We start from the raw sequence: 11,695 nt of genomic DNA, 5'->3' as shown, positions 1-11,695 counted from the left end.
CCTGTCTTCTGAGCCCTCCAAGTTTCTAGGAAGTTCCAAATTTTCCCACATTTTCCTGTTTTCTTCTGAGCCCTGCAAACTATTCCCACCTCTGCCTATTACCCAGTTCCAAATTCGCTTCCACATTTTCAGGTATCTTTACAGCAATGTCCCACTCTCTGCAGTACCAATTTACTGTATTAGTTAGTTCTCACACTTTTAATAAAGACATACTCGAGACTGAGTAATTTATAAAGGAAAGAAGTTTAATTGACTCACAGTTCAGCGTGGCTGGGGAGGCCTCAGGAAACTTATAATCTCAGCAGAAGGGGAAGCAAGAACTTTCTTCTTCACATGGCAGCAAGAGAGAGAACTGCTGAGCAAAGGGGGAAAGGCCCCTTATAAAACTATCAGATTTTATGAGAACTCACTATCAGAAGAACAGCATGAGGGTAACTGCCCCCATGGTTCAATTACCTCCTACCAGGTCCCTCCCACAACATGTGGGGATTATGGGAATTACAATTCAAGATGAGATTTGGGTGGGGACACAGCCAAACCATATCACTCATATATTCTTACAGTAAAAAAGTTAATGGAACACTATAAGAACTTGAAATTGTCAGTACTATTAATGGCATAGATACCAGGAATTCAGTTTTGGGACACTCTACAAGTCAAGAAACCATGATCAGCTAAGTTGCTTGCTGAGGACAAAGGGAATATGGAATAGGTATTAAAAGAAGCAAGTAATATCAGCTACAACCATGAGACCATTTACAAAAATTAAAACTACAGTAGTTGTATTTCCTCTTTACTTATACATAAATATATTTGTGTGTATATATCCATATAAACATATATCCAAGAGAGGAAAAAATAACAAAGAAATAGATTAGTTAATACAAGATACAGAGATTTGTGTATATATATACATATTGACCATTCTTTTTTACAATCTAACATAATATGTGTTAATAGTGATTAACCTAATATGTCAATGTTTAAGTTATTAGAAGATATGAAAGCAAGAATGTGACCAATCTAGGAAGAGAATAAACACCACCCACAGATGAATGAAATGACTATGGGACTTTGTATCCTCTTTTGGTGGGAAGTGAGTGAATTGGAGGAGGGAGTTAGCAGGTTTTCAGTTGCATGAGAGATAGGTGCATCATGTTAGGTAGAATCATGACTTACCTATTAGATGCAAATATGGATAAAAGAGATGTGAATGACACCAAGCTGACATGAGCTGGAGTGCGGTTGTTTTGTAGTTTATCAGCTTGTAGTTTATCAGCTTGTTTGACCTGGAACAATATTGCCCAGAATCCTCTTTCCCCATATGGTTCTCAGAGGTGGTCAAAAGATAATCCAATGTGATTTGGAAAGCAGAAATGAAGCAGCAGCCATTACTCTTTGAAGTTCATCCTAGTTAAAGGAAATAAGAAATATAAAGATCTTCCAGAAGATTTTCACTTTTCTTTAATCTTCTTGCTGTTGAGAGACAGACACAAACATACCAGTGGATTCAGCTTGTTATCACTCTCCACTCTGCATCCAGCTCTATTTCCAAATGCCACTGATGAATAGGATCCCCTATCCTTCAGCAGACATATAAACAGCAACCTTCCAAAGCCACCAGCTCTCCTTTACACTCCTCTTCTAGCAGCTGCATATGTGTTGCTTCACTGATTTCCTGGCAAGCTCTAACTTGTTCACCCACGCCAATGCATCAGAGGAGCTGAGAAGTGACTGTTCTCCAGCTTCTCCTACAATTGTGCAAGAAGTTACCATTATAATAAATCCCTACTCTACAGTACTCTGAGTAGTTCTGCTTCCTTGATTTAGTCCTGACTGATACAGGAGCTTCTCAGGTCCCCAGCCACATAGAGACAGTCCATGGGCCAGAATAGTCCACAGTGCATTTACCTGCAAGGGGGCTGGGGAAGACTGAAGAACTGACAAGTGAGCAATGGTAATGTCAACCATTTATTTTTCATTTCTCAATGTTAATTTCTTATTTTAAAGAAAAAATAATAACCACATACTCATTATTTTTAAAATTACCAGGAGTAAAAAAAATTATATCTTATCAAAGTCTAGATGCTCCCTCTATCATCCTTCCAATAATCCCACTTAAGGGGGAGCCCTTTCTTTCATACACAGGGTATAGGACAAACTGTTAAGACTGAAGTTACATCGTGCTCATCTACAGAGGGGAATACAACTGAAAAGGTTAGTAAGAGGCAAAATCGCTTTTAATCAAAATTACTTTTAAAATAACAGTTTCAACATCCTTGTGGGGGGAAAAAAAGAACAGAAGTAAAAATAAGGACTAGATGGTGAGGAAACAGAGCAAAAGGCAGCCTGTTAAGAAGTGAACCAGTGGATGGAGGAGAAGAATGGTACAACAACCTGAGAGAGTAATAAAATCCTTCAAAGGTTTTTCTGAGATAGGGAGGATATCAATATGTTTATAGAAAACAGAATGATGTTAATGAACTCAAACTAACAAAGTGGAAAAGTAACCAATGTTTCAATAGCCAGAAATTATAGGACAAGACTAGAATCAAGAGCATAAGGACAGAGGGTACCTTACAAATAACAGACCCCACACTTCCTTGACCAGTAAAGAAGACGATAACAGCAGGAGGAGAAATGGCAAAAAAAAAAAAAAAAAAAAAAAAAAAAACCGAGAAAGGAGTACAGTTTCTCTCTTCCTTTCTTCTTCACTCTCTAACACACACTAATATCCCTAGTCAAGTTTTTTTAATAGCTAATAAATCGTTGACATAAAATCAAATTTTGAAAAGGAACACGTCTTACTCATATAGAGGTGCATCCTGGCTGAACCTAAATTAAGATTAGAAGTGTGAAGCCAACAGATGCTCTCTGCCTCTGCAACCACCATTTCCTGACTCACAAAGATGGAGGGAGAGGTGCATGGAACAAAAAGTGGCCTGTAAGAGGAATTTGGAGGATACAGAGAAAAATGTTATAAATAGCACAGTATCTCATTACATTAACTGGAAAATTATAATCTAAATCCATGACTACATTGATTTAATTATAGTCATCAAACTTCTAAAAAAGGAAGAAGAAAGCATAATTAAGGAAAACATTAAAATGTAATCTAACCTTTAATATTCACTCTAGAAGCTCATAGTCTACTGGCAAGCTTATGGGGAAATAATAAAACTTAGCTTATTTAACTTTTGGTCCTCAGAACCTCCATAAGATCAATAACATTATTACACACTACTTCTTAATAGTAATAATAGTAAAAGCTGACATTAATAAGAACTTACTATGTGCTAGATATGTGTTAGACTTACTGTTTTAACTATGTGTTAGAAAATACAGCTAACAGCTATATTGATCTCATTTAATCCTCATAGTTCTAGAAGGAAAGCATTACTGTTATCTCCATTTCACAGATAAGAAAGTTGGAATTTAGTGATTTACCCAAGATCACACAGTAAGAAAGAAAACCTAAGCCCACGGCTTTCTGACATTCCAAGTGCACAACCACTAATCTATGCCACTTTCTTACATTCATAGACCTCCAAAAATATCCAACTTTAAGCACTGGCTGTTTAAATATGTATTTCTCAGCAAAATTTTTTTTCTATATTTTACAAATTTTTCATGAATGCAAATATTTTATGAACCTCTACTTTAAAAAATGATTATTTTAGTTATTTTCTTGGTCCTGTTTTCTTTCAAAAAGACAGTCTCTGCAAACTCTAGGTTTAATTTAAATTCAACCCAAGTTGAAAAGGGCTTGCCACTCTCCTGAGTCCTACTGTTCTTGGCGTGGAATTGCTGACCTAGTTCTAAAGAGAGGGATAAATGCACATGGCTCAAATGTAGTTTTTGGGGGAAGAGGAAAGTTATTGTTCATGTCCCATTTACATAGAATGCTGACCTTTCAATGTAAACCACTTCTTATTGTAAACGTTTAACAAATAAAAATAATTGAGCTCATGCTTTACCAACAATGATCCATGCTGCTTTAACCTTGGTTTACTTCTATGTTATAATCTGAATACCCAACTTGAGTTCAGTCTTGGGGAATAGGGCATTGTTCCATGTTGTACAGGTAAAATATCAGACTTAATCCTATATACCTTTAATCTGGAAAATAAAATGGGTAGGTAGAAAACAGTGCTCTCAACTTACTCTAAATCCAATAAAAAGAGGGAAAAGCACACTATCTATCTGATGTTAAGCATACAGATATGACAGTTGTATTGTCAGCACAGAGACATTCGTTCATATAATACAGTATCAGCAACACTTTAAAATGTTACTGATTAGAAGTATTGAAATTATAACCTGTATCACTTACAAGCTTCAAAATCAGAAAATGCCTTCAAGCTTGTTGTTTTATAGTATATATGAGGAAAAAATGTTTAAAGGAATATTGTAGACTTTAGAAATTGTTACCAAATATGGTATAAAACTCCAAAAGATAAATACTTAATTGTAAAGAAAATAATCAGAGTTAGAGTTGTGGTATAAATTAATTAAAAACAATGCCATCCAAGGTGATTAAGTATGAGCTAGAGGTTAAAAAGAAATAGATATCACAAGAAAAATATTCAGGGAAAAACATAAAAACCTATGCTTTAGAAAGGGTATATTTGATTATAAGAATCAGAAATCCTCTAAGTCTAGCTTAATGAAAATGGGCTTAACATAAAGGAAAACATGCAAATTCCAAGGGCATCCAAAGACAAGAAATGAAGAGCAGCCAGAACACAAGAATCCCAGAAATGGAAGGGAAAGGGCAGGCACTAAAGCATCTCTCTGTTTCTCCCATAAATCACCCATGATCAGCATCCTAGACTTGGACATGGCCCAGCGTGGCCACATTGTCTGCAGCTCTCATCTCAGGCTGTTGTTTAAGTACCTACTAGCATCTGATGATCACAATTCCCAGTTGCCTGAGCTGTGAATTGTTTGCTGCTGAGTTGAGTATTCATGCCAAAGATATGTCAGCTTCAACTGAAAGGCAATTTTATTATTTTATTTGTGTTAACTTTTATTTTAGGTTCAGAGGTACATCCGCAACTATGTTAAATGGATAAATTGTGTGTCATGGGAGTTGCGTGTACAGATTATTTCATTGCTCAGCTAAAAAGCATAGTTCCCAATAGGGTTTTCCAGTCCTTACCTTCCTCCCACCCTGCACCCTCAAGTAGGGCCCAGTAAAAAAGTTAATGGAACACTATAAGAACTCAAAATTATCAGTACTACTAACAGCATAGACACCAGGAATTCAGTTTTGGGACACTCTACAAGTCAAGAAACCATGATCAGCTAAATTGCTTGCTGAGGATGAAGGGAATATGGAATAGGTATTAAAAGAAGCAAGTAATAAATATCAGCTACGACCATGAGACTATTTACAAATTAAAACTACACTAGTTGTATTTCCTCTTTACTTATATATAAATATATTTGTGTGTATATATCCATATAAACATTCTTTCTGTCCATGTGTACTCAATATTTAGCTCCCACTTAGTGGAGTTGAGGACATGCAGTATTTTGTTTTTTCTTCCTTTGTTAGCTTGCTTAGGGTAGTAACCTCCAGCTGCATTCACATTGCTTCCAAAGACATGACCTAGTTCTTTGTGTCTGTGTAGTGTTCCAAGGTGTAGATGTACCACATTTTCTTTATTCAGTCTACCATTGATGGGCATTCAGGTTGATAATATGTTTTTGCTATTGTGATAGTGCTGCAGTGAACACACGCATGCCTGTTTCTTCAGGGTAGAATGATTTATATTTCTTTGGGTATATACCCAATAATACAATCACTTGGTCAAAGAGTAGTTCTGTATTAAGTTATTTGAGAAAATACCAAACTGCTTTCCACAAGGGCTTCACTAATTTACATTCCCACCAGTAGTTTTAAGCATTCCCTTTTCTCCACAACCTCACTTTGTTATTTTTCGGTTGCCATTCTGATTGGTGTAAGATGGTATCTCACTGTGATTTTGATTCACAATTATCTAATGATTAGTGATGTTGAGAATTTTTTCATATGCTTGTTGGCCATGTGTATGTCTTTTTTGAAAACTATCTGTTCATGTCCTTTGCCCACTTGTTAATGGGGTTGATTTTTGCTTATTAATTTGTTTAAGCTCCATATAGATTCTGGATATTGTTGGATGAATAGTTTGCAAATATTTTCTCCCATTCTGTAGGTTGTCTATTTAATCTTTTGATAGTTTCTTTTGTGTACAAAAGCTCTTTAGCTTAAGTAGATCCCATTTGTCAATTCTTGTTTTTGTTACAATTGCTTTTGGAGTCTTCATCATGGCATCTTTGCCAGGGCCTTTTCCAGAATGGTATTTTCTAAGCTATATCCTAGAGTTTGCCTACTTGTAAGTTTTACTTTTAATTCTTTAATACATGTTGAGTTGATTTCTGTACACAGTGTAAGAAGGGGTCCAGTTTCAATCTTCTGTATATGGCCATCCAATTATCCCAGCACCATTTATTAAATATGGAGTCCTTTTTCCATTGCTTGTTTTTGTTGACCTTGTCAAATATCACATGGTTGTAGGTGTGTAGCTTTATTTCTGGGCTCTTTTCTGTTCCATTGGTCTGTGTGTCTGTTTTTGTACCAGTAGCATACTGTTTTGGTTATGGTAGCTTTGTAGTATACTTTGTAGTATAGTTTGAAGTCAAGTAATATAATGTCTCCAGCTTTGATCTTAGGATTTCTTTGGCTATTTTTATTCTTTTTGGTTCCATATTAATTTTAGTATAGTATTTTTCCAATTTTGTGAGGAATGTCATTGATAGTTTGATAGGAATAGTATTGAATCTGTAAACTGTTTTCATCAGTATGCCCATTTAACAATCTTGATTCTTCCTATCCATGAGTATGAAATGTTTTTTCATTTGTTGGTATAATCTATGATTTCTTTCAGAAGTGTTTTGTAATTCTTATTGTGGAGATCTTTCACCTCCCTAGTTAGCTGTATCCCTAGGTATTTTATTCATTTTGTGGCTACTATGAATGGGATGGCATTCTTGATTTGGCTCTCAGCTTGGATTTTATTGGTGTAGAGAAATGCAACTGATTTTTGTGCATTGATTTTTGTATACTGAAATTTTTCTGAAGTTATCAGATCTAGGAGCTTTTGGGCAGAAACCGGGATTTTTTAGGTATAGAATTATATCATCTGCAGACAGAGATAATTTGACTTTCTTTCTCCCTATTTGTATGTCTTTTATTTCTTTCCCTTGCCTGATTGCTCTGGCTAGCACTTCCAGTATGTTGAATAGAAGTGGTGAGAGAAGGCATCCTTGTCTTGTTCTGGTTCTTAAGGGGAATATTTGCAGCTTTTTCTCATTCAGTATGATATTGGCTGTGGGTTTGTCATAGATGGCTCTTATTATTTTGAGGTATGTTCCTTTAATGCCTGGTTTGTTGAAGGTTTTTAACCTAAAGGAATGTTGTGTTTTATCACAAGATTTTTCTGCATCTATTGTGATGATAATGTGGTTTTTTAGTTCTGTTTATGTGATGAATCACATTTATTGATTTGTGTATATTGAACCAAGCTTGCATCCCAAGAATAAAGCCTACTTGGTCATGATGGATTAGCTGTTTGATGTGCTGCTAGATTTGGTTTGTTGGATTTTTTTTTTTTTTATGATTTTTCGCATCTATGTTCAACAAGAATATTGGCCTCAAATTTTCTTTTTTTTTTTTTTTTTTCCCGTATCTCTGCCAGATTTTGGTATCAGGATAACGCTGGGCTCACAGAATGAGTTGAGGAGGAGTCCCTCCTCCTCAATTATGGGAATGGTTTAAGCAGGCATCATACTAGCTCCTTTTTACACATCTGGTAAAATTCAGCTGTGAATCTGTCTGGTCCTGGGCTTTTTCTGGTTGGTAGGCTTTTTATTACTAATTCAATTTCAGAACTTTTTATTGGTCTGTTCAGGGTTTCAATTTCTTCTTGGCTTAATCTTGTAAGGTTGTATGTGTCTAGGAATTTATCAATTTCTTCCAGTTTTTCCAGGTTTTTTTTTTGTTTTTTTTTTTTTTTGCATAGAGGCATTCATAAAAGTCTCTGAGGGTTTTTTATTCCTGTATGGTTAGTGATAATGTCCCTTTTGTCATTTCTGATTGTGTTTATTTGAATCTTCTTTTTTCTTTATTAGTGTAGCTACTGGTCTATCAATATTATTTATTCTTTCAAAAAACAAACTCCTGGATTTGTTGATCTTTTGTTTTTTCACATCTTAATTTCATTCAGTTTAGCTCTGATTTGAGTTATTTCATGTCTTCTGCTATGTTGGGGGTTGGTTTACTCTTGTTTTTCTAGATCCTGTAGGTACAATGTTAGGTTGTTAATTTGAGATATTTCTAACTTTTTGATATGAATGTTTAGCACTATAAACTTTTCTCAATACTGCTTTAGCTGTGTCCTAGAGATTCTGGTATGTTGTATCTTTGTTCTCATCAGTTTCAAATAATTTCCTGATTTCTGCATTAATTTCTTTGGACAAAAGTTATTCAAGAACAGGTTGTTTAATTTCAATGTAATTGTATGATTTTGAAATATCTTCTTAGTATTGATTTCCATTTTTGTTGCACTGTGGTCCGAGAGTGTGGTTACTATTTCAGTTTTTTTGAATTTGCTAACAATTGTTTAATGGCTGATTGTGTGGTAGATTTTAGAGTATGTGCCATATGCAGATGAGAAAAATATGTATTCTGTTGTTTTTGAGTAGAGAGTTCTGTTGATGTCTATTAGGTCCATTTAGTCAAGTGTTGAGTTCAGGTCTCAAATATGTTTGATAGTTTTCTGCCTCAATGATCTAATACAGTCAATGGGGTGTTGAAGTCTCCCACTATTATTGTGTGGTTATCTAAGTCTCTTCATGGGTTTCTATTAACTTGCTTTATGAATGTAGGTGCTGCTGTGTTGGGTGTATATATACTTAAGATAGTTAGGTCTTCTTGTTGAATGGAACACTTTACCATTATGCAGTGCCCTTGTCTTTTTTGGTCATTGTTGGTTTAAAGTCTGGTTTGGCTGGGCATGGTGACTCACACCTGTAATCCCAGCACTTAGGAAGGCCAAGACAGGCGTATCACCTGAGTTCATGAGTTCAAGACCAGCCTGGCCAACATGGTGAAATCCCACCTCTACTAAAAATACAATAATCAGCCAGGCATGGTGGTGCACGCCTGTAATCCCAGCTACTCAGGAGACTGAGACAGGAGAATCGCTTGGACCCAGGAGGTAGAGGTTGTAGTAAGGTGAGAGCGTGCCACTGCACTCTAGCCTGGGTGACAGAGTGAGACTTCAACTAAAAAAAAAATAAAGTCTTTTTTTCTGAAATTGAATAGCAACCTGCACTTTTTCTGTTTTCCATTTGCTTGGTAGATTTTTCTCAATCTCTTTACTTTGAGCCTATGAGATGGATCTCTTGAAGACAGCATACAGTCGAGTCTTACTCCTTTATTCAACTTGAAGGGCAATTTTAAAGGGAAACTTTGATAGTAAAAACAACCTTCCAAAGTGCACCTCTACCTCTGCCTATGAAAAGGACAACAGAAACAGAAAAGTAAGATGTAGGCATTAGGCTATACAGATGGTTCCCAACTTAGGATGGTTTGACTTACAATTTTTTTTTACTTCTCAATGGTGTGAAAACCATGTGCATTCAATACGAACCATACTTTGAATTTTGAGTTTTGATCTTTTCCCAGGCTAGTGACATGGGTACAATACTCTCTCATGATGCTGGGTAGCAGGAGCCACAGCTCCCAGTTGGCCAAGGGATCATGATGAACAACAATGCTCTACAGTGAACTATGTTGCTAGATGATTTTTGCCAACTGTAGGCTAATGTAAGTGTTCAGAGCACATTTAAGGTAAATGAGTCTAAGCTATAATGTTCAGTAGGGTAGGTGTATTAAATGCATTGTTGACTTATAATATTTCAACTGATGATGGTTTATCAGGATGTAATCCCATCATAAGTTAAAAAGCATCTGATCTGTACACTGAATATTTAAAGCTCAGATGAGAAAAATAGAAAACTTTTGTAGTGGTACATGGGGCTTGCCCAGATACAAGGAAAAAAAAGGAATTCCCAAGACAATTTATTGATCAAATTTCCCTGTTTCTAACACAGATAAAACATTTTATTTCATTTTTAGATTACTGCAAATTAAAAACAAGTGTTTAACAATGCTTTTGTTTTTGGCTTTTGAATCCAACAAAGTCTGCTTCAATAACATTTAATATTTAAATTAATAATTAAACTGGACACAGTGGCTCACACCTATAATCCCAGCACTTTGGGAGCTGAGGCAGGAGGACTGCTTGAAGCCAGAAGTTCAAGACCAACCTAGGCAACAAAGTGAGACCACCATCTCTATAAAACATAAAACAAATTAGCTGGGCATGGTGGTACATGTACTCCGGAGGCTGAGGTGGAAGGATTGCTTGAGACTGGGAGGTCAAGGCTACAGTGAGCCATGATTGTACCACTGCACTCCACCCTGAGTGACAGAATGAGAGCCTGTCTCATAAAAAATAATCAATTAATAACTAAATTTCACAGCTTCAACATGCACATTTTCAAATGCACAGGTTTCTCTATAACATGTAGAACACAAGATTCAGTCCAATATTTACAAAAATATTTACACAACAACCTGAGAATAGCATTTCAATTGTGGTTCAAGAAAACAAAATCTTAAGGTTTAATGCAATTTATATTAAATTGGGTTTTGCTTGATAGACCCATAAAATATTAGTTATTAATTAAAAATCAGGCCAGGCACAGTGACTCACACCTGTAATCCCAGCACTTTGGGAGGCTGAGGAGGTGGATCACCTGATGTCAGGAGTTCGAGATCAGCCTGACCAACATGGTAAAACCCCATCTCTACTAAAAATACAAAAAAAATTAGCCAGGCATTGTGGCATGTGCCTGTAATCCCAGATACTCAGGAGGCTAAGGCAGGAGAATCACTTGAACCTGGGAGGCAGAGGTTGCAGTGAGCCAAGATCATGCCATTGCACTCTAGCCTGGGTGACAAGAGCGAAACTCAGTCTTAAAAAAAAAAAAAAAAAATCAAAATTTCTAATATTTTCAAGTATACCTCTTAGGTGTATTTCTAAAATTCAGTGACTCAACCATGTATGTATATTATATAAACTACCTCAGTCATAAAGCTATATGAAAATATCATAGGCACTATTGTTTTTCATTTGCTGTAGAGGCACCTATTAATTTAGCTTTTCTTTTTTTTGCTTAGATTCTACAAAGTATTTTCTATTTTCCACGGAATTCTTAATACCATGCTTTCAATAAAGAAGACATTTTTAAACACACTGACTGATTTTCATCTTTGGTGATCTATCTTTCCCTTATCTACAATTCCATAAGTTTTATTAAGTGCCCACTTTGTGAAAAGCACCGTAATTAGTGATACAATTAGGTTTTAGACTGGCTGTAATCAGCGATTAAACCTCCATTTTATTCTCTTTTCCTACAATTCCCTAACAGATTAAGAAATACATACACGAAATGGTAAGTCCTTAGATAATTGAGGATTGATTACATTTCCTAATAAAGTACCTACTTTAATTGGGTTGCCTTTGCTGCTACATACATTTTATTGCAGGATTCCTCCCTTAGCAGTCTTTCTCGGAGCATC

General features: G+C 35.8%; 1 long non-coding RNA gene across 1 annotated transcript; it reads right to left on the bottom strand.

Annotated features, from left to right (window-relative positions):
* Positions 1-324: 324 nt before the first annotated feature.
* Positions 325-1,669, bottom strand: LOC105373768 (uncharacterized). The gene is made up of 3 exons (XR_923635.3): positions 1,503-1,669; positions 1,180-1,410; positions 325-352 (listed from the first exon to the last, which is right to left on the bottom strand). It is a non-coding gene; the product is annotated as an uncharacterized LOC105373768 (long non-coding RNA).
* Positions 1,670-11,695: the final 10,026 nt, after the last annotated feature.

Source organism: Homo sapiens, chromosome 2 (genome assembly GCF_000001405.40).
Source record: "Homo sapiens chromosome 2, GRCh38.p14 Primary Assembly".
Classification (NCBI taxonomy): domain Eukaryota; kingdom Metazoa; phylum Chordata; class Mammalia; order Primates; family Hominidae; genus Homo; species Homo sapiens.
The sequence above is the reverse complement of the archived record's forward strand: the minus strand, read 5'-3'. Positions and strand labels throughout refer to the sequence as shown.